We start from the raw sequence: 24,271 nt of genomic DNA, 5'->3' as shown, positions 1-24,271 counted from the left end.
GCCCATCGTTTGTTTTTCCAACGTCTTGTAAGAGAGAATATACTTCAGGATGGTTAATACTTACGATGTTCCCGGTTTGTAGGCTCCATCAGCTTTGCCATGTAGGTGGGGACTTCTTTTGGGAATTCTCAACATTGACCCAGTGGCCAATAATAGATATGCTGAGCATGTCTACAAATGCAGCTTTTATCATTTATGGCCAGAATATGTTTACGTTCTTTTAATATCTGGTTGATTCCTAGTGAAAAGCATTTTATGCATATGTGAATGCAAAACATAACAAAAAAGTGTATAATGCAATCCACTCATTAAAAGAAAGCCCAGCTGAAGTAAGAACAGGAACAGGTCTATGTCCTTGGCAAGTTTGCCAACCTTCCCATTAAGGAATCTCTTCGGATTACGTTTTAGTTCGAAATCTTAAATGCTGATTCGGGGACATGTCACACAAGTTGTTAGAGAAAGCGTTGGTTTTATTATTCAAAGAATATTGAGTTTTGGAAATGACACATAGACACAAATGACACAAATGACAATTGACCAACTAGTTTGCCTTGCATTTTTTTTTTTTTTTTTTTTGAGACGGACTTTTTCACTCCTGTTGCCCAGGCTGGAGTGCAATGGCACTATCTCAGCTCACTGCAACCTCCGCCTCCCTGGTTCAAGCGATTCTCTTGCCTCAGCCTCCCGAGTAGCTGGGATTACAGGCATGCGCCACCACACGCGGCCAATTTTGTATTTTTAGTAAAGACGGGGTTTCTCCACGCTGGTCAGGCTGGTCTCGAACTCCTGACCCCAGGCGATCCGCCCGCCTCAGCCTCCCAAAGTTCTGGGACTACAGGCATGAGCCACCGCGCCCGGCTGCCTTGCATTTTTATTTTAATTTTGTAAAATGTATTAAAACGTAGATGATGTTAATTGCCAATTATTATCTCTTTTCATTTTCTAAAGTGGTTGACGCTGCTGTCGAAGTTGGATGATATTGCTCACGGAGGAGGCTTCTGAGAAGGGCATAAATGGGTTTTAAAAAAGCAGTGAATTGGAATGGGAATGGCAGATAAAGAGAAACACATTTTCTGCATTTTCTAATGATTACTCACATAGTTGAGCCTTGCACGTTATATTTATTAGAACGACCACCCCCCATTTAGTTTTCCTTTGAAGAGTCTTTCTTGTAAACCGTGGGTGCGTGTGTGTTTGCGTCCCGATCTGCCAGGGCTGGGCGCCAAGTGCAAAGTGCGCAGCCGCGAAGTGGAGTCGGCGCCGGCGGGAGCGCGGGGCTCAGGGCCAGGGCCCGCCTCCAGGGGGCGGTGTGCGCCCCCGGCGCTGGAGCAGCCGCGTTTCGGGGACCCGGGCAGGCGTGGGGGGCTGCGCTGAGCTCCAGGCCTCCTGCAGGTAGGGATGCTTTGCTGACAGATTCGGGCGTCCTCCCCTGAACGAATGTCCTGGCGGGGCGTGCCCAGCCACCATCCAGCTTCAGAGGCAATGGCCGGGCGTCGTGAGAAGGGGAGGGAGAAGGAAGCGGAAGAGAGAGAGTTGGAAAGACTAGAGGAAGAGGTGGCCACGTCTTTTGCCATCCCAGCTTTAAACTGCAGTGTTTAAGGCCTCGTCTGCCCTGCTAAGGTCACCGAACTTTTTACTTTATGTGAAAAGTGCTTCCCAAGGGAGGCACAGGGACTCCGGTTCTGAAACCGATTAATGGTCTTAGAGCCCCCAGTAAGCCGTTACCAAAGTGTCCGGGTCACAGTTGCAGAGGAAGTGAGAAGCGTGTTCGACCTCATTTGAAACGGCTTCACAGAGGGTAAACCTCAAGTTGATTTTGTAAAAAGGAAAGCCTGTGGTTTGGCCGAGAAGAATAAATAATATATTCTAGATCCACGTGTAGTGACTTGGTTTGGGAAAAAAGAATCCACAGGGAGAGGAACAGCGCAGAGGGTTCTGTGGTCTATCGCCCAGGCTGGCTTGCAGAGAACGGAATTCAATCTAGTTAGTTTAAGCAGAAAGGGATTTGCGGCAGGATATTAAGTGGTTTACAGACTCTTTGGGAAGACTGAAGGATCAGATTCCAGACTGATCTTTTAAGAACACGACCCAAAGCCACCCTGAAGAACTAAAGAATCTAATGCCCCTCCTCGAATTCAGCAGACACCAGTGGCGTAGGGAAACGGTGGCCACAGCTGCTAGCCCCAGAACCATGCCACCTGCCCGGGTCGGAAACCACCATGACAGGCAATTGATATAGTCAAGAAACTCCCCCAAGCCGAAAGCTACTGCTAGTGCTGCCAACTCTAAAACCGTGACACCCCTGGCATAACCCACACCAGCAAATAGGTTCCCTGGGCAGTGCTTTTTAATACTCCACAAAGCCAGTAAGTAGACACTGAGACCTCTCCTCCCGCTTTCAGAGCGAAACCAGGTACCTTCACAATGGTGCTTGTCAGCAGAATATTAGAAACATGCCTTCCTAATCTCGCACTAATTCTCCTGAATAGTGGAATCTAAATCACCGTAGAACCCTAGATGCAAGGGAGTTGGGGAAATATAGTAAAAACTCCAGCGTCCCAGCTCCTACAATACATGAAGGCATGCTAGGATGATGTCAGCATGGTTGCTGGTGACTCAATCCGCAGTTCCCATCACAGTCCTCCACCTGGTTACTCAACTCCCATGCACTCCTCTCTTCTCATACGTACACTTCCAAATGGCAATGATTCCCCCTGCAGTAAAACATGGAACTCACTTTCTTCCCAAAATGGGGAAGTGCCATGAGCCACTGCATCCTGCTGTCACGGAGGTTCTATGTTCTAGATTCTGTCCTGGTGTTCATTCGAGTTCAGTCATAATCCTCCCTTGATATCTTATAACCCGTAGACCTAATTATAAAGTCACATCTTATATAAAACACATCCAATATAAAATGTTAAGGGAAACGGGGAGGACAAATATAAATTGACTAGGATAGAGAAAAGAAGGAAAACAATGCTATTACAGTCCTCATTTTTCCAAGGCTTGTGAGTCTGAGGTTGGACTGTTGAGCATCCTTGCTTTATCCTGGCATGTATTTCCTTTCACCATATCCGGCGCCTCTGCTGGTTAGTGCTCTTTATCTAGTGGAGCAATCTAAGTCTTTTTTCCTGAGAGGTCCTATTTCTGTGTGGTCTTTCTTGTATTGAGATGCTGTAGTCTTCCACCAACTCTGTGATTGGACATACAGCCTTGCCTATGATTTTCCTTGAGGGGTTCTGCAGTGGCATATTCTGGCAGTGGTATGTTCAGTCTTACATTTTTAAAATAAGACCTAACATTTTAAAATAAGACACCATCGTATCCTGATTGGCTATGGATGCTTCCAGCACTATTAGATCTGTTACGGATCCAAGTGGTGGTAAAGCTGCTTGCACATGGCCTGAAATTTTTGTTTTTGTTTTTTAAGACAGTCTCTCTCTGTCACCCAGGCTGGAGTGGCACAGTGGTGCAACCATACCTCACTGCAGCCTTCAACTCCTGGGGCTCAAGAAATCCTCTTGCCTCAGCATCCTGAGAAGCTAGGACTATAGGTGTATGCCACCATGCACCCAGCTAATTAAAAAAAATTTTTTTTGAGACAGAGTCATGGTTTTTTTTTGCCCAGGCTTGTCTTGAACTTCTGGGTTCAAGCGATCCTACTGCCTTGGCCCTCACAAAGTGCTGGGATTATAGGCATGAGCTACCATGCCTGGCCTGCCCTGGGATTTTCTCAAAGCTGGCAGACTAATGGGTTATTCAGAATATGGGTCAGAGCTGCACACACACCCACATACACACACACACACACACACACACACACACAGTACATATTGGTTCCCCAATCCAGAGTCGTATCAAGTGCTATAGCTCTTTATTAGCAGTAGGGGGTGCAAGATTCAGAGAGATATCCCATCGCTCACCAGATCACTGGGCACAGCAATTCTGCTGAGAGAGCAGGTTCTTGAATTCTTGTGACACAACATTCCACTCTTTGGCACACATGTAGGCACATAATGTACTTGTTTCCGCTCACTAGGTGCAATAAGAATCGTATTACTAATGTGGTGTCCTCTGGAATGGTCACATGAACACAGTTCCCTGCAGATGTAATTGGGAGAGAAGGCACAGTCCTGACACAGGGTAAGACTGTGGAGGTGTATTGCTGTCCCTACCAGGTAAAATAATATTGCTTCTGGTGGTTTTATTGGGAAAGAGACAACACATTTACCAAACTGATAGCTGCATATTGGGTGCTGGGGGCTGTGTTGATTTGCTACAGTCATAAAACTATGTCTAGAACAAAAGCTGCAATGGAAGCCATCTATTGACTAAATTAACAGTGAACCCTTATTATCCTCCAACAGCCATATGTGTTCTACATAGGTGAAGCAGGGGAGTTAAGTGGCCGTAATAGGAAATGTCATCTCTACATCTTTTTTGTTTGTTTGTTTTGTTTTTTTTTTTAGACAGAGTCTTACTCTGTCGCCCAGGCTGGGGGGCAGTGGCGTGATCTTGGCTCACTACAAGCTCTGCCTCCTGGGTTCATCCCATTCTCCTCCTCAGCCTCCCGAGTAGCTGGAACTACAAGTGCCCGCCACCAAGCCCGGCTAATTTTTTGTATTTTTAGTAGAGACAGGGTTTCACTGTGTTAGCCAGGATGGTCTTGATCTCCTGACCTCATGATCCACCTGCCTCGGCCTCCCAAAGTGCTGGGATTACAGGCATGAGCCACCACGCCCGGCCATCTCTACATCTTTCAAGTCTTTGGCAGTTCATTCAGGGATGTGATGTTGCTTTTGATAACTCTTGATAGGAAGAAGTGGTTCCAGGGTTTTCCACTTGCTCCTTCTTACCTAAATAGTCCTCACTTCCTGGGCCAGGGATGAGTGTGGGGATTCTGTAGCTGGGTGTTTCTGCATACATTCATAGAGTTTCTGCATAGAGAGTGCTCTGCATTCAGAAACCCAGGAAATGCTACAGGATAAGTTTATAGACCTACAAGGTACATCATGAGAAGCACGTGAGCCAAAACTCCACTTATCACTTGACTCCTATAACCCCAACTCTGAAAGCAGAGTTCAAGCAACTGTTGCGTCACCTCTTGCTACAGAGCACCAGGGTCCCACCTTCTGATGTGAATGAGACCTCCTGTGCTTCAAGCCCAGCCAAGTCAGATAACTTAGTGGTCTTCAAATTTTTTTCTGCATACACTCCTGAAGACAATTTAGAAAAAATTTAGAAAAATAATGTACCCTTCACCCACTTTTTTTTTTTCTGAGATGGAGTCTCACTTTGTTGCCAGGATAGAGTGCAGTGGCAGGATCTTGGCTTACTGCAACCTCTGCCTCCTGGGTTCGAGCAATTCCCCTGCCTCAGCCTCCCAAGTAGCTGGGACTACAGGCATGCGCCACCACTCCTGGCTAATTTTTGTATTTTTAGTAGAGACAGCGTTTCACCATGTTGGCCAGGATGATCTCAATCTCCTGACCTCACCTTCACCCACTTTTTAACTTGACATCTCACCTTTTCCTGATAAGTGTAAATAGTTGAAATGGATCACAGAACATTAGAAGTTTAAAAAAAGCTAACATGACAAAACCTAAGAAAGAGATCTTTTTATTGAAGATCTGCCTGATTCATCTCTATTATGTTTTTACGTAGACTGGCTTCTGGTTGTGTACATTTCCAACCTTATTTCTTCTCTACTGTCCACACATTCATGGTGCTGGTCACCACAGAAAATGAATATCACAGCATGACTTCTGGTCCTCAGGACCGTGGGCAGAGGGAGTATTTCTAGAAATCATTTTTACACTAGAGGGGCTAGCAATAACATAATCATATGTGGAAGTTACTGCACCAGTAAATACATCCTCTGAAACCCCAACTAACTTGTTTATCCCAATTCAATTAGTGGACTTTCAAAAGCACCCATGGCCACTGCAATGCCACCACACATGGGGAGAAGAAAGACAAAGGGGAGTGTAAAAAGAGGTATTAATCCTTAAGGTTGAAAGGTCTTACTCTTGTAAATTTTACTAAAATATGTGACCCAGAAGAGCCATTTCTAGGCCTTGGGGGTGGCCTGTGCTAGTGAAAGCCTCTGAAGATTGGGGTTTGTTAGCTACGGGGTGAATCTACCGCTGCACTGTCAATAGGGACATTATGATAAAAATGTCATGTAACTTTGTGAAAAGTATCCATGGAGCCTAAACACTATAATGACATGCTATCCATCATCATTTACTTTGAAATATTTGAACAATCTCTTTAATTTTCGAAAATTTTTCAAAATTTTGAAAATTTGTCTTTTTACTCTTGAACATATAAAGTTCCATTTCACTTTCTTCTTAGGATTCCTTCATAATGTAATGTGTGTGTGTGTGTGTGTGTATGTATATATATATTTTTAGACAGGGTCTCACTCTGTTGCTCCAGCTGAAGTACGTAGTGCAATCACAGCTCACTGCAGCTTTGAACTCCTGGGCTTAAGCCATCCTCCCACCTCAGCCTCCTGACCAGCTGGGGTTACAGACATGTGCCACCACACCCAGCTAATTGCTTTTTCATTTCTTTTGTAGAGATAGAGGGTCTCACTGTGTTTCCCACGCTGGTCTCGAACTCCTGGTCTCAAACAGTCCTCCCATCTCAGCCTCCCAAAGTGCTGTGATTATAGGTGTGAGCCACTGTGCCCAGCCTAATGTATATTTTTAACAGCTTTATTAAGATATAATTTATCTATTGTACAATTCACATAAGTAAAGTGTGCTATTGAATGGCTTTTAATATATTCACAGACTTTTACATCGTGACCACAATATATGTTAGAACATTTTTATTTCAAAAGAAGCCCTACACCCCTCAGCTATCACCCCGGCAATTGTTCCATCTCCCTCAACCCCACCCAGTTCTAGGTCACCATTAATTCACTTTCTGTCTCTATGGAGTTGCTCACTCCAAGCATTTATATGTAAATGGAATCATGCAGTATGCTATCCTTTGAGACTGGCTTCCTTCAGTTACAAGGTTCATCCTATACTTACGCTTGAAACATTTATTAATCACCCTTTTCTGCAACCAAAAATGTATGTGAATCGAAATTGTAAAGTGTTCTTTATTTCCTGCCACCAAAAGACTTTAGGAATTTAAAGTATTTTCTGGGTCATGATTACAATGGTTGTTATCATGCAACTTATGAAAACAACATAAATGTTATAAACGTTGCTAAAAAAATTGTGTTAATTCAAAGAGTGAAATTTTATTGGAAATGTCTCACTTACATGATGAGTTTTTAAAATTTTCTCTGTCTTTCTCTCTCTCGGGATCTCACTTTGCTGCCCAGCCTGGAGTGCAGTAGTGTAATCTCGGCTCACTGCAGCCTCAAACTTCTGGGCTCGAGCGATCCTCTCACCTCAGCCTCCTGAGTAGCTGGGACTACAGGTGCGTGCCACCATGTCTAGGTAATTTTTAAAGTTTTTTTGTAGAGATGAGGCCTCCCTATGTTGCCCAGGCTGGTCTCAAACTCCTGGGGTCAGGAGATGCTCCCAAAGTGCTGGGATTACAGGCATGAGCTACTACGCCCAGCTGGAATTTCCTTATTTTAAAAATGTATGACTGAATCTACCACCGCCAGAATCTACCACTGCCAGATGGTTCTGCCTGGATTCTTTTCCTACTTTTTGTGCTTCGTAGGTATAATTGCTGGAAAGCCTGATCACAAAATTAAGCTGATGGGAATGGAAAAGGTTTCTTATAGAAATATCAGTCAATTCTCCCAATTCTTTCCTCTTTCTCTTCCCCCAAATCACCTAGCATTCCTTACCCAGGTCCCCACAGGACTCCTCCTGCAGAACGATGCCTCCTTTGACGGTAGATAGATACGTCAGAGATGAGGTCGTTACTCAGCGCTTGTCACTGCTCACCAGCTCACTATCATATACCTGAATTCAGAACATCCCAACATGGGCCAAAAGCCAGGCCCCTTCCTTAGCAGAAAGTACCATGAGGCAGGGAAAGCTGGAACGGCAGAGGGTGGTGGGGCCTTGCTTGGTTATCAGGACAGCCTTTCCCTGTGTTTGGCATTTGAGGGTTTAGAAACCCTCGTGGAGTAAGTTTGGGAAGGCTGAGGGCTAGTGCTTTCTTTTATAAAGTGTGCTTTTGAACACTTGCCTTGAGGCAAGAGTGTATAAAGGAGGTAAGGATCTGGAAATTGATTTCTTTGAAATTATGTGTATACATTTGGACCCAGGAGTTTGAAAACCACCCAGCCGAGGGAGCTGAGACTTTGATTCCTAAGACTCAGTCCTACGACCTCTCCTGATTCCAGTCTCGGTGTTGGTCAGGGTTCAGTTACAGAGCAGAGCAGAAAGGGATTTATTTCAGGATATTAAATGGTTTATGGAATCATGGGGAAGGTGAACAAACAGGCTCTAGCCTGAACTTCCCAGGGGACTCCTGGAGTCCCATGTAGCAAGGAAGCTTAAGGCTCTTCTCTGACAACTTGGGAAGCTGTTGCTGCGGCTGCTGCATCAGACACCCCGCCATGGCGCTGAGCAGGGTGGGGTTTAGATTCCCAGTCACGTGTAAAGGCAGTCACACCATCCACGTGCCAGTGGAGTACAACTTGGCAGGCAGTGAGAAGGTGCCAGGATTTTTCGGAGTTAAGTGACTGTGGTAAGTAGGATGGGCTAGAAGAAGAGTGAACGCTGGCTGAGCTTGCTGTGGCTGTGAAAGCGTGCAATCCCGGGAGGGTGGCAGGGGCCAGGGGCCACCACAGGACTCAGCGTGCAGGGTTCACCTACAAAGATCACGTGGACCAAGTGTGCCTGGACCAAGTGTGCCTGAAGCGGTGCTCTGCGTGGGTACAAAATGTGACAGCAGTGTTTGCCAGTCCACTTCACTGGCAAAGGGTGAGTTCTATGCCTACTTATTTCCAAAGACACTGCAAGGTAACTTTGTGTTTCTTCAAAGACTCTAAAGTGGGCCAGGCACAGTGGCTCACTAATCCCAACACTTTGGGAGGCTGAGGTGGGCAGATTACTTGAGCCCAGGAGTTTGAGACCAGCCTGGGCAACAAGCAAGACCCATCTACCCAAAATTTTTTTTTTAATTTTTTAAATCAGGAGTTCGAGAGCAACCTGACCAACATGTGAAACCCCGTCTCTGCTAAAAATACAAAATTAGCTGGGTGTGGTGGTGCACGCCTGTAATCCCAGCTATTCGGGAAGCTGAGGCAGGAGAATTGCTTGAACCTGGGAGGTGGAGGTTGCAGTGAGCCGAGATCACGCCATTGCACTCCAGCCTGGGCAACAAGAGTGAAATTCCATCTCGAAAAAAAAAAAAAAAAAATGAGCCGGGCTTGGTGGTGCACGCCTGTAGTCCTGGCTACTTGGGAGGCTGATGCGGGAGGATCGCTCCCAGTCCAGGAGGTTGAGGCTACCTTGAGCTATGCTTGCACCACTATACTCTAGCCTGGGCCACAGAGTGAGACTTGGTCTCTAAAAAAACAAAAATTAATTAATTAAAAATAAAATAAGATAAAAAATTAAAAACAAAGACCATAAATGCCATGAGTTATGTTTGTTTTTTCTAAAATTTTATTCCCAGCATAGGGAATAAATGCAGAAGAGGTGCTTCATAAATATGTACTGAATTAACAGATAAAACGAGGGTTCATAATAAGAACCTAGACTCCTTGGAGGGTCCATGAGAAGGTTTTTCTTTGTGTCTGCGTGACAAATTGTCAGTCCCAGGATGGTGCCAGAAGTAAAGTTGGGTCATTGGAGGGTGACTTTGACAACGTCTGACATCTGCAGAGAAGAGGCAGATGTTTCGATCACCTAGCCGACACTGTTCATGACGTCAAAGGCCACGGTGGCTTTACAGCTACAATCTCAACAGCAACAAGAATTTAATGAGGGCCGATTATGTGCAAGATACTATAGTAAGTGCTTAATATTCATTATCTCATGTAATCCTTACAATAGGCCTTGGGGTAGCTTTTATTATTCCTATTTATAAGTGAGTAAACGTTGTCTCAGGTAGGTAAGTGACCAACCCAAGGTCCTTGGATTAGAGCCTAGTTGAATTTTCACTTGAGCCATTTACTCTGGCCACAGAATAGGAACATTGGAAGGAAATCCAGAGGACTTGGTGATATGGTTTGGATCTATGTCCCCACCCAAATCTCATGCTCAATTGTAATCCCCAATATTGGAGGTGGGGCCTGGTGGGTGGTGATTGGATCACAGGGCTGGTTTCTCATGGTTTAGCATTTGGTACTGTATAGTGAGTGAGTTCTCATGAGGTCTGGTTGTTTAACAGTGTATGGCATTTCCCCCTCCTTCTTCCTCCTGCTCTGGCCATGTGAGGTGTCTGCTTGCCCTTTGCCTTCCACCATGTCTGTAGGCTTCCTGAGGACTCTCCAGAAGCCAAGCAGATGCTGGCACCATGCTTCCTGTACAGTCTGCAGAACTGTGAGCCAATTAAATCCCTTTTCTTTATAAATTGCCTAGTCTCAGGTATTTCTTTATAACAGTGTGAGAACAGACTAATATGCTTGGGCTCTGGACCCAGCTCTGCTGCTGCCTGCCCTGGCTTGGTGGACGTCGCCAGCCTCTCTCCTGCCCTGCCCACAAAGAGAAGTGTACTTCCCAGCCACTGCTCGGGGACAGTCACGCGGCCAACTCTGCCCAACAGGCAGTGAGTGGAGATGACTTGTGCTCTGTGTGGGTGAAGCACTTTGATCGCTGGTCGCCTCCTTTTCTCTCACCGTGAGACGGAGGAGACACGTGTTCGCCAGCCTCCCAGATGAGAAGGCCGTGTGCTTTGATGCTGTGGCTGTAAGATGAAAGAGCCTCCATCCTAGGTCCCAAACAGGGCTGTAGAGCAGAATTTTGTGCAACTCATGTTGGATACCATGTGAGCAAGAGCACACGTGTATGTTGAGGCACTGGGATTTTAGGATTGTTTGTCAACATAGGTAACCCAGGTTATTGTGACTAATGCATTTGATCCACTCTTGTTAATCCTCTAAGTATCGGTTTTGCCATCTGTAACTGATGATAATAATATCTATCAGCCAGCTATCTGGGGGCTGTTAAAAGAGATAAGGGAGGAAATGGTTCCCTCCAGGTCTAACATTCTCCAGAACCATCTAGCTTAGTGAAATGGCATGCTCTAAAAATAGAGTTTTCTTCATGACCATTGTATTATGTGCTTAAGGTCTTAAGATCTGACCCTCTGTATTCGCAGATTTGATGACAAAGAGCCGGAACTAGAGATGTCCAGGGCTTCCTGTGGCTTTGGGTTGGGATTTTTCCAAGCTTCTGTCAGAGGTCAATTCTGTTATTTTGAGAAAGGTGTTGCAGTGAGCCTTGTTTTTGTCTCTCCCTACCCTTGTAATGCAAAATATGGGAGGTATAGACCATTCCCAAAGCTGCCCTGTGGGTTATTAAATAGTGACTGCAGTCAGGGCTGGTGTGGAAGACATTTCGCAAGCTCCCTAATATTTTTATTCTCCCCTTCTTGGACATAACGGAGGATTACATTTCTCCAACTTCCCAGAGCCTTGCTTTGGCTAATGAGATGGGAGTGGCAGGGACACAGGTCACTTTTGGGTGGAGGCATGGAAGAGCTGCTGGGAGACTTCTATGTTCTCTCTACCCACAGCAGTGAACTTGAAGACTGTCTGGGGAGATGGCCATGACCTCAGATGGTGAAACTCTGTCAGCCGAAGTCTCTGACTGGCTGAGGTGAGCAGAGCACCCTTCTGCAGAACAGCTGTGGACATGTGGTGTAGGCAGGAAGTCAACCATTGTTGTTTTGAGCCATGGAGATTTGGCCATTGGTTCCTATTGCAGAATAAATTAGTTTGAACTGGCTAATTCCATTAGGACTGAGACAAAATAGCAATATTAGACCTCTGGACTGGGAGGCAGCAGTCTTGGATTTTAGGTCTCACTGGGGGAACCATGGACTTGGTCTCCCTGGGCTTCAGCTTCCTCATCAGTACATAAAGGGAAATGAACTACATTTTCTCTCAATCATCTGATGATTCTAATAGTTTCTCTATTTGTCTCTCTCTCTCTCTCTTACTCTTTTCCTCTCCTTCTCTCATCCATCCACTCACCCTTCCACCTATCCATCCATCCGTCCATCCATCCATCCACCCATCCACTCATCCATCCACCCATCCACTCATCCATACACCCATCCACTCATCCATCCATCCACCCACCCATCCACTCACCCATCCATCCACCCACCCACCCATCCATCCATCCACCCATTCATCTACCCACCCATCCGTTCACCCATGTACTCATCCATCCATCCATCCACCCACCAGTCCACTCATCCATCCACCGACCCACCCATCCATCTACCTATCCACTCATCCATCCACTCTTCCACCCACCCATCAGTTTATTCTTCTATTTACCCATCCTTCCATTCACCCATCCACACACCCATCAATCCCTCTATCTCTTTATTTATTCATCCATCCTTATTCTAAAGACCAAAGCAAGTGACTGAATCATGATATTTTCACAAAATTCAACTAATATTTTACTTAATTAACATCGTATGCAAAAGTTACCTTAAAAGAAGAAAGCAAACTTATCATGAACTTTTCCTTAGATGACATTATTTCTGAGAGGAAGAAGAATCCAACATTTTCATTGTGAGAAAACCTTTTGTTTCTAAGGTGGGCCTTGCTTCATTTTGTTTGCACATAGAAAGAATAAGGAGCTCTTGAGTTGGGGTCAGACAGCTGGAAAAGATATTTAATCAAACATATTCTAATCAAAATAGTTTTGCTTCCCTTCTTACATCAATTTACTGACTCAAAAATAAACTTCCTCTTATTGAAACTTGATTCCTGACAGATGGAGAAAAAGGGGTAGGAACCTGGAGAAAAGATCACAACTGAGTGACTTGGCAACCTCGTGGTGAGAGTCTCCATCCAAAAGGGCAAGCAGGCAAGAAAATGAGAATAAGATTTACAGGAGAAATTTATATCATGAAAGCAAAGATTGGTGCAAACCCACGTGTATAACACTTTAAGGAATCTGGCAAAGAAAACATAATTCCTCTCCTGTAGAAAGGAGAAAGGGCCACAGGCTAAGATTCTGGGTGAGGAGGAATCCCTAGACAGAGAGGAAATTTTGCTATTTGTTATCAGGTAATAGATCATGTTTCACTTGGAAAAACAGCTGGGAAGATGGAAGTTTATTGGAAAGCTGGCCAGATCTCCTGAGCCAGGGGTATCAATAAACTCTCTCAAGTAGTGACTGTCTTTTCTTTGGTTAAGATTTGGCTTCATTACATATAAAAGAAAACCCCCAGTTATAGTGACTTAAGCATACAAGTGTTCATTTTGTTATCAGGTCTAAATGTAGGCATTCCTGAACTAGTATGGCAGCTTCACAATGTCAGCAGAGACCCAGGCCCCTTCTGCCTTTCCGATCCCACATCCTTAGTGCATAGCTTCCATTGTCAGGGTAACCTCATGGTCCAAAATAGTTGATGGAGCTCCTGCCATCACATCTGCATTCCAGACGGCAGAAAAAAGGAGCCATGAAATGGCAAAATGGGCTCACTACCCAACTGAATTATCTCTTGTTAAGAAACCCTCCCCAAAGCCCCACTAGTACTGTCCCATTGGCCAGAATATAGTTATTGGCAATACTTAGCTATAAAGGCGATTGGGAGATGTAGTTTTTAGTTGGCCAAGTTGCCACCCCCAAATAAAATCAGGGTTCTGTGACCAAAGAAGAGAAGAAAGGATATTATGAGGCAACTAACAGCTTCTGTTATGTTATTTTTTTCCATCTATTATCTATGAGATGACTATTGAACTTAGTTATATATTCAGAAATCTTAAAGCATACTCAGTTATCAGCAGAGAAAATAGTACCTTGGCTCTAAATTCTAAAATGTGTCATTTTAGTAGGCTGTCAGAGTATGTTCTGACAATACCTAGTTTCATGGGCTGTCAGTAGCTGTCAATGATGCAATTTGAAAAGTCAATTCTAGTGACAAATCTTAAAGTGATTTTCACAAGCCTTTAATGTGCTAATGTGTTTTGTGATTCTCCACAAACAATGTCTTCCCAAATCATCTGAGTGTTTTCTCCCTGAGCATTTCATGAAATTACTGCTCCATAGAACACATGGACTTGGAAGACCAGGTCTCCCTTGCTCCCTCCCTCCCTCCCTCCCTCCCTCCCTCCCTCCCTCCCTCCCTCCCTTCCTTCCTTCCTTCCTTCTTTCCTTCCTTCCTTCCCTCCCCTCCTCCCTCCTTCCCTGCCTCCCTCCTTCCCTCCCCTCCTCCCTCCTTCCCTCCCTCCCTCCTTCCCTCCCTCCTTCTCTCCCTCCCTCTCTCCCTCCTTCTCTCCCTCCCTCTCTCCCTCCTTCTCTCCCTCCCTCTCTCCCTCCTTCTCTCCCTCCCTCTCTCCCTCCTTCCCTCCCCTCCTCCCTCCTTCCCTCCCTCCCTCCTTCCCTCCCTCCCTCCTTCCCTCCCTCCTTCCCTCCCTCCCTCCTTCTCTCCTTCCCTCTCTCTCTCCCTCTCTCTCCTTCCTCTCTCCCTCCTTCCTTCCTTTCTTCCTTTCTCTTCCCCCCACCTCTCTCTCTTTTTCTTTCTTTCTTTCAAATCAAGGCCTTGCTCTGTCACCTAGGCCGAAGTGTAGTGGTGTGATCAAGGCTGTCTGCAGCCTAGACATCCTGGGCTCAAATGATCTTCCCACTTTAGCCTCCCAAGTAACTGGAACTACAGGAGTACCGCCAAGCCCAGCACTTTGGGAGGCTGAGGTGGGAGGATTGCTTAAGACCAGGAGTTCAAGACCAGCCTGGGCAACATAGTGAGACCTCCATCTCTACAGGAAAAAAAAAAATTAGCTGGATGTGGTGGCCTTGGCCTTCCAAAATGCTGGGATTCCAGGCATGAGCCACTGTGCCCACCCAGGTCCTCTGTTTCTTTGTAATCTTGCTAGTCTGCTGTAAGCAATCCCAATATGTTTTCTAATTGCTACTCAAGTAGTCGGGTGATTCTGATCATTTCACAAGGGATTCAGAAATACTGAATTTTCACCCTGTGATGAAAGACAGATCGGATCCCACGGGATGGAGGAGCAGCTCCTGCCCCCAGCTCCCTCCTCCACTCACACTTCAGGCTTTCTGTTCACAGTCCTGCCCTATCCTGGGAGTTGGGCTCCCATGAGTCTTCCTCCAGGGTGATGCATTCTCCGACAGTAGTTGAAGAATGTACGAGGTAAAGTTATTTCAAAAACGTATCACTCCACCGTATCATTTATCTGAACACAGAATATTCCAACACAGGCCGAAATGCTCAGCTTCTCAAAACACCCTCAGCCTTCATAGAATTGATATAAGACAGGGGCAGACAGAGTGTCCTGGCGCCTGTTTAATCATTAACCAAGGCTCTCCGTGTTTGAGAAAGTTGGGGAAGATGTCACTCTTTTGGACAAAAAGTACAATAGGGCTTTCCGGGGGCTGGGGCAAGGGCAGTTGGGAGTCAGTGTTTAGTGGGTGCAGAGTTTCAGTCTGGGAAGATAAGAAGGTTCTGGAGATGGTGGTGGTGGCTGCACAACATGTGAGTGCAGTAATGCCACTGAACTGTGCACTTAAAAATGGCTAAGTGGGCACATTTGATGTTATATGTATTTTACCACAGTACAAATACAAATGAAAAAAGAGAAAAAGAGATGGCTTTCTTCTGTGGGGTGGGAGAGCAGCTGTGATTCCTGGCTTGTTCGTGGGAAAAGAGCACCTGTGGAGATGGAGGATCAGGGAAGGGTTTTCTTCTTGCCATCTTTATCAGCCTGTGTTTCTTATATCCCGGGGATCCCGGGAGCACAGAGCGCCTGCTGTCGACTTCGTCCTTGTGCTCTGCATACCCAGGGGCAGGGTGGGGAGGGTTGTCAATACACGTTTTTGTTTGTTTGTTTGTTTGTTTTTTGTTTTTGAGATGGAATCTCGCTCTGTTGCCCAGGCTGGAGTGTAGTGGTGTGGCCTCGGCTCACTGCAACCTCCACCTCCGGGGTTCAAGCAATTCTCCTGCCTCAGCCTCCTAAGTAGCTGGGATTACAGGCACCCACCACCACACCCAGCTAATTTTTGTATTTTTAGTAGAGACAGGGTTTCACCATGTTGGCCAGGCTGGTCTCAAACTCCTGACCTCAGGTGATCCGCCCGCCTTGGCCTTCCAAAGTGCTGGGATTACAGGTGTGAGCCACTGCACCCGGCCTAATGCACGTAATTTTAACGACCAATCAGGTAAGGTCAATTAGTGAGTTGGCAGTGTGGGACATTGGAGAGTAGTGTGCTTGTGTTTCACGGGTGACCTCAGCCTTGCCTGTTGATTTCGATGGACACATTTTCCAAAGTACTGCACTGGCTAAGTTATACACAGTGTTGCTAAATTGGGTAAATAGGCCTTGAGTTTGTGGCCTCCTAGTCCATGCATACATACATTATTTAATTTTCTTAGCAACTTCACAAAGATGGCATTATGGCCATGGTTTGATGAAGAAACAGGTTCAGAGAGAGGAAGGCAGAGTGGATGTTGGAGTTGGGCAGACCTGTGTTCCCATTCCTGCTCTTGCCAGTGCTGGGACTCCACCTGAGGCAACGGGACCTTCTGATTTCAGTTTGTCCCCATAAAATGGCGGGTGCTCTCCTTGTCAGCAAGACTGAGGTAAGGAAAAGGACAGCCAAACAGGGGGTAATCATATTTGCCTTGAAAGGTGATTGTGGCCGGGCATGGTGGCTGAAACCCCGTCTCTACTAAAAATACAAAAATTAGCTGGATGTGGTGGTACGCCCCTGTAGTCCCAGCTACTCGGGAGGCTGAGGCAGGAGAATCACTTGAACCCCGGAGGCAGAGGTTGCAGCGAGCCGAGATTGCGCCACTGCACTCCAGCCTGGATGACAGAGTGACACTCTGTCTCAAAAAGAAAAACAAAAAAAAAAAAACAAAGGTGGTTGTAAAGATTAGAAATACGCTTAAGCACCTAGCACACTTTGCAGAACTTAGTAGGTCCTCAGTAGGCAGTGCCTGAAACCATGAAAACAAGTTATAAGTTATATTTTCGACAGGATCTTTTCAATACAGCAGAACATCTGGATATTGAAAGTACACTGTGTCAACATGGTTTAAATCTTCATACTTGGGAACATCTGGAGAGTTTAGCACTGTGCAGGCCGAACTTGAGTTCAGTGGAGTCTTTTGGGTCACTGAGTAGTAAAGAGAGCTGGCAATGACCCTGGCCTTGACATCCAGTCGTGATTTCTACTGCAATATGCCAGCCATGGAAGTGCTCTTACCTCTTCCTCTGTGGCAGCCACGGAGTGAGTGGACGGAAGCGCCTTGGGAGATCACCCCGTGTGTGTACACACATCGCTGGATGCTCTGTGGATGTGTGAGCCCTCGAGACATCTGGTTTCAACATTGAAACCCTAACATTGAAAGTGGGCCTGCTCTCTCTGTTGGCCCATCAGATCGCTTTTCTGGCGATCTTTCTGGTGTGTCGGACGTCAGCCAGCCAGCCGAGGCACAGGGAGCTCCCAGGGACTCTCTCGTTCTCACATAAGGAAAAACATTCTGCGCTCCTTGTCCTTGTTCAAGTCCAGCTGCCTGCTCTGGAAGAGGAACCACAGGCCTCCCAGCTCCCTGGCTCTGAGACCTGGGCTCTTATAAGCATTTTATCTAGGGACCCTGAAATTACAAGGACAAAGTTAAATATATCTGCACAGAACTTCCCCAGACCTGCCTTGATACCTACAAACACGTGTCGTCATAGTTGTAATGTAGGCGTCCCTTCTCCATCTTTCTTCCCCTCAGCATCTCTGAATCTGGTTCACGCACGTGAAAGCATTCCAGCAAAGCTCAGCAGGTGGCTGTGGGTGAGGGGCCTGGAGAGCCAGCAGAGGGGCCCAGCAGAACCAGTGCCTGCAGGGTGATCTGAGGCTGGAACACAGCTGAGCACAGCACTTGCCAAGGCATGCTCCTCACAACACCAGCTGCAGGGAAATTAGCCATTCCTGTCAGAAAAAGGAAGACATTCCCTTGATCCAGTAGGTTTGGGAAAGGATGTTTTTAAGCCCACCTTATTTGGGGAGATACTTCTTTCAGGCCAGATTATTGATGAGTATGGGATGGATGTGGGCCACGGAGGCTCTGAGAAGACCAACCCAACCAACTGTTTGACCAACAAAGGGAAACTCATCTTAGGAAATGAATCCACGATTCACATCTGCTAAGCCTTACTGTGTGCTTCATCTGGCATCTGAGGCACCAACATCTATACTACAGCACCTTCTGCCCTCCGGGGGCTGAGGGCGTAATGAGGTCAGGTCTGCACACAAGGGAGACAGCAGCCTGGGGCAGGGACTGGAGTGAGGTGGGGAGCCAGGGTGCATCCCCAGCCCTCCCTCCTTTTCTTTGGTCTTCGTCTGTTCATTTATTTTGTAAATTGCCATCACTAAGGTCTATTATTTTTGGTTTAAAAATTCTTGCTCTATTATTAACTAGACATGAATGAGTTAATTTCTCAAAGCCATGACCACCAAACGTATACATGAACAAACAAAACAAAGCATGGCAGTGATCAACCAGCTATTTTGAGCCTAATTCACTGCCTATTTGGATCCATTAAGCCCTCAAAATAGGTTTTGTCCAAATGAACCGTCTAGCAGCTACCTGCAGACGGATCAAATAAAACAGAGAGCTACCAGACCTACTCTGTACCTTGCAGACAATGGGAAAATCCATTACTTCTACTGTAAAAGAGACCTAAAAGTACTACTCACTCCATACTGAAAGCTCATGAGCATCTTCAGAGGGACACGGGAGCTCCCGTGGCCTGGTGTCAGTGCAACCCATTATCACCACGTAACTCCTAATAACGTTCCCAAATAATCCTCCCTGGTCCGTACGAAGCACTTCCTCCCACAGTTTCCCTTGGTTTCCTTGGTTTGCTTCCCTCAGTTTTATGTGATGCTGGCCACCCAAGTGCGTGGACTCCTGCCTCAGCAATCCTGAGGAATGGGCTTAGGACAGTTTTGAGGTCTCTTATTTTTATAAAGGGCACAGTTGGTACTGAGAGGAGAGCCAAATTGTTTCCCTTTTTAAGCAAACATTCATTCCTTCCAGACCACTGAAAGCTGTTCTTTAAAAAGGGGTTATTTATTTGGCAGTATCTGTAATACCTTGGTGTGTCTATTTTTACGTGGTGTGTAAGTGGCTTTATATGGGTCAGTTTCCCCTGTTCTTGAAAGTTTGGGCACTCTTGTGGTTATCACAGTGGTTCGGGCCCTTGATCGTCATGTCACTGTTTCTGAAACAGTAGCCACCACAGTCCATCTGAGGCGTCTTTGGGGAGCAGAGTCCACGCTGGGCAATAAAAGCAGACAGAGGAAATAAGCCTGCAGGTCCCTTCCTTATGGTTTGCACTTGAGGGTTTGTTAAGGGTGGAGAGGGAGTAGGTTTCTCTGAAAACAGAGTCTCTGAAAACGTGGTGTGCTCTTTAGCCAACTGTTTATGTCTACGAGCACAGCCAGAGAATGTCACATGTCCTCGTGCCTACCTAATGTGCAGTTTTCAAAACAACATTAGGGTATGTGTGCCGTTTCTGCACATGGGGATACATCCAGGTAGCAGAGGCGCATTTTGGAAGCACCGGCCGTGATTTGGGAGTGGGGGCCCGGAGGATCGCTGTGTTCAGGGCAAGTCCCACAGCGGCTGCAGAGGAATGTCAGACGGGTCTACAGAGACAGCCCGGCTGTCGGCTGCTGTGAGGTGAAAGCTGCACCTGAGATGGGGGAAGTTAACGGGAAGTCTCTGGCTGCTCTTGAATCCCGCCCCCGCCATGGTCATTACAGGCATCCCTTAGTATCTGGGGAACTGGTTCCAAGATCCCAGAGGATACCAAAATCCTAGGGTGCCCAAGCCCTGAAATGTAAGATTTGCATATAACCTAATCACATTCTCCTGCATACTGTAAATCATCTCTAGACTACTTTTAAGACCAAATACAGTGAAAATAACATGTGAATAGTTGTTATACTGTACTGTTGTTATTTGTATTTTTTATTGTTGTATTGTTATTTTTAAAATTTCTTTTTTGAGATGGGGTCTCGCTCTGTCACCCAGGCTGGACTGCAATGGCATGATCTCAGCTCACTGCAACCTCTGCCTCCCAGGCTCAAGCGATCCTTCCACCTCAAGGATAGAGTAGCTAGGACTACAGGCATGCACCACCATGCTTGGCTAATTTTTGTGTGTGTGTATATATATATAATATATATATATTATTTTTTATTATCTATATTATTATATATAAGTATATATATTATTTTTTATATATAAGTATATTTATATATTATTTTATATATGTTAGTGTGTGTGTGTGTGTGTGTGTGTGTGTATATATATATTTTTTTTTTTTTTTTTTTTTTTTGGTAGAGATGAGGTTTCATCATGTTGCCCAGGCTAGTCTTGAACTAGGCTCAAGCCATCTCCCTGCTTTGGCCTCCCAAAGTACTGGGATTACAGGGGTGAGTCACCGTGACTGGCTTGTATTGTTTTTATTTTATTTTATTTTTAAAAATAATTTGATCCATGGTCAGTTGGATCTGTGGTTGTAGAACCGCAGATAAGAAAGGCCAACTATATTAATGTAAGTTAAACCTGTAAAACATCTGATACCATTTTCATGAGAGACAACCGCTGTGCTGGGACATGAAACTTTAATTTCCAAGTATATTTCATTGTTCAAGGAGTCTCAAGATATTCGAATGGACTATTTCCAACTTTCCTAAGATGGCATCATTGGTGAGTGAAGCAGGTTATTGGCCCAGGAAAAGACTGTCAAGGAACAACTTCTATCCTGATTTAGGTCATTCTCTGGGCAATGACCTCTCATTGGAACTGGAGGGTGTTTGGCTGTGCAACTGAGACTAGGAAAGCATGCATGGTATTTGGCAGCTTTTGTGCATCTGACTTCAGGAATGACACATGCAGAGGTGTGTGTCCCACTGATGTGTGCTGCTCTGCCCTCCGCTTCCTGCCCCACCCTCCGCTTCCTGCCCCAGCGCAGGATGAGCTAAGATGTACAGTGTTCAGCACAAGGGCCAGTAATCAATATTTGTTGCCGTAATTATTACTATTGAGGATCTCAGGCATCTATCCTTGGATCTACTTTGAAACGAAAGTCTTCATTAATCTCATTTAAGAATAATAATTCAAAATCCTTATCAAAATAGCAGCAAAGAGAACCTAGCAGCTCATTAGGAGAATAATGAACCATGACCCAGTGGCTTTTTTTCCAGGAAGTCAGGATTGGCTCAAAGTAGGAAATATATTAATCACATTCAACATATTAATAGAATATAAGAGAAAAAACATTCCGTTATTCCACAGATTCTAAAAAAACATTTATCTAAATGCATTATTCTTTTTTTTTTTTAACTTTGTGTAATGGAGAATTTCAAACAAATATGAAAGTAGACAGAATAGTAAATAAACCGCCACGCACCCACCGCACAGCTCACACTATGGCCAATCTCATTACTCTATACTCCTCACCCACCGCACAGCTCACACTACGGCCAATCTCATTACTCTATACTCCACACCCACCACACAGCTCACACTATGGCCAGTCTCATTACTCTATACTCCACACCCACCGCACAGCTCACACTATGGCCAATCTCATTACTCTATACTCCTCACCCGCCGCACAGCTCACACTATGGCCAGTCTCATTACTCTATACTCCTCACCCGCCGCACAGCTCACACTATGGCCAGTCTCATTACTCTATACTCCTCACCCACCGCACAGCTCACACTATGGCCAATCTCATTACTCTATACTCCTCACCCACCGCACAGCTCACACTATGGCCAATCTCATTACTCTATACTCCACACCCGCTGCACAGCTCACACTATGGCCAGTCTCATTACTCTATACTCCTCACCCACAGCACAGCTCACACTATGGCGAATCTCATTACTCTATACTCCTCACCCACCGCACAGCTCACGCTATGGCCAATCTCATTACTCTATACTCCTCACCCACCACACAGCTCACACTACGGCCAATCTCATTACTCTATACTCCACACCCACCACACAGCTCACACTATGGCCAGTCTCATTACTCTATACTCCACACCCACCGCACAGCTCACACTATGGCCAGTCTCATTACTCTATACTCCACACCCACCGCACAGCTCACACTATGGCCAGTCTCATTACTCTATACTCCACACCCACCACACAGCTCACACTATGGCCAGTCTCATTACTCTATACTCCACACCCACAGCACAGCTCACACTATGGCGAATCTCATTACTCTATACTCCTCACCCACCGCACAGCTCACGCTATGGCCAATCTCATTACTCTATACTCCTCACCCACCACACAGCTCACACTACGGCCAATCTCATTACTCTATACTCCACACCCACCACACAGCTCACACTATGGCCAGTCTCATTACTCTATACTCCACACCCACTGCACAGCTCACACTATGGCCAGTCTCATTACTCTATACTCCACACCCACCGCACAGCTCACACTATGGCCAGTCTCATTACTCTATACTCCACACCCACCGCACAGCTCACACTATGGCCAGTCTCATTACTCTATACTCCACACCCACCGCACAGCTCACACTATGGCCAGTCTCATTACTCTATACTCCTCCCCATGCTTCCCCGTATACTCTTCTGAACCAAATCCTAGACAGCGTATCATTTCATCCATCAGTTATTTAGTACATATCTCTTCAAGAAGAAGATTTTATGAAACAACCATAATGATATTATCACACCAAAAAAAATTAACAGTACTTTCTTAATGTCATCAAATATCCAGTAAGTGTTCAAAGTTCTAATTGTCTTGTGAATACTTTTTTGACATCATGTTGATTTGAATCAGGATCCCAGTAAGGCCATACATTGCAGTTGGTTGATGTGTTTTAAGTTTCCTTTAACCTAAAGGGATCTCCCTCCATCTTTTGGTTTTCCCCACTTGGAATACATTTGTTGAAAGACCTGGGCCTGTGTCCTGTAGAGTTTCCCAGAGTCTGTGTTTTGCAGCATGCTCCCTCTGTGTAGTGTATTAAATAGACTGTTCTGTCCTCTGCATTTCTGTAAGTTGGTAGTTCGATCTAGAGGCTTGGTGAGATCCAACTTTGATATTTTTATGAAAAATTACTTTTTAGGTTGTGTGTGCTTTTCTATGAGGAGATACCTAACAGCTGGTTGACTCTTTGTTTGCAATGTTAGCAACAATTTTTTGGTTCATGTTTAGCTTCATTAATCCATTAGTGTTATTTATTCTGCATAAAATATCTGAAAATAATAATAAATACGTCCTTAGCATGATATAAAAGCATATTTTAATCCCGAAGACAGTATCATACTTAAAAATGTAGAAACACTTGAATCATTGATATTAAGGAAAGGAGTAAGACAAGTAGATACACTTTCACAAATATCATGTAACACTGTTCTAGAGATCAGTCAATATAACACACTAGAAGAAATGAGATATATAAAAATTTAAAAGGAGAAGGTAAACTATTGTCATTTGAAGCTTCTATGATAGTTATTTTATTCTAGCAGGTTTTCTTGGGTTTTCCAGGGAATTACAAACAGTAACATATTTTAGCAAGTTGGCTGGGATCAAAATTTGTACCCTGTAGTCATTAGCTTAGGACTTAGCCAAGAACAAACAATAACAATAATAAACCAAAACCAAAACCAACCAACCAACCAACCAAACAAATAAACCAAAACCCCCCAGAACAACAAGAAACCCACATACCATGTTATTGTATAACACTTGATATCATTAACAGGTCGATTTTCTATAGGTTAAATATTTCAATATAATATTTTTGGATGTAGGGAGTTAATGCCAAGGCTCTTATGGGAAGATACATAAGCAAGCAGAGGCAGGAAAGTTCTAGAAAAAAGGAATAATAGGGGAAGGGGACTATCTGTGCCAGATATTAGTCACATATTAAGCTATAATAATAAACAATGAGTTTCTGATGTGGAGCGAAAGCTCAATGGAACAGTCTATAAAGTTCAAGAACATTCAAATACATATTAGAATTTAGTATACGTGCTAAAAGTATGACAAAAGTGCAAAAAGACTAAAAGAAAATAAATACAGTTCATCCTCGGTATCTGGGGAATTGGGTCCAG

At 45.0% G+C, this 24,271-nt stretch overlaps 1 long non-coding RNA gene across 5 annotated transcripts in view; it reads left to right on the top strand.

The window, feature by feature from the left end:
* Positions 1-1,237: 1,237 nt before the first annotated feature.
* LOC102723944 (uncharacterized) overlaps positions 1,238-24,271 on the top strand; it is a 102,009-nt gene continuing 78,975 nt past the window's right edge. For 2 of the 5 annotated variants that reach the window (XR_001743921.2, XR_926382.2), the window contains exons 1-2: positions 1,238-1,392; positions 4,040-4,178. This is a non-coding gene — a long non-coding RNA (uncharacterized LOC102723944). Of the gene's footprint in view, positions 1,393-4,039; positions 4,179-7,345; positions 10,510-24,271 lie in introns of those variants that run through there. The other 3 variants (XR_001743922.2, XR_926384.2, XR_427861.4) reach the window with 3 other exon arrangements.

The sequence above is a fragment of the Homo sapiens genome, chromosome 6, assembly GCF_000001405.40.
Source record: "Homo sapiens chromosome 6, GRCh38.p14 Primary Assembly".
In the NCBI taxonomy this organism is placed as follows: domain Eukaryota; kingdom Metazoa; phylum Chordata; class Mammalia; order Primates; family Hominidae; genus Homo; species Homo sapiens.
The sequence above is the reverse complement of the archived record's forward strand: the minus strand, read 5'-3'. Positions and strand labels throughout refer to the sequence as shown.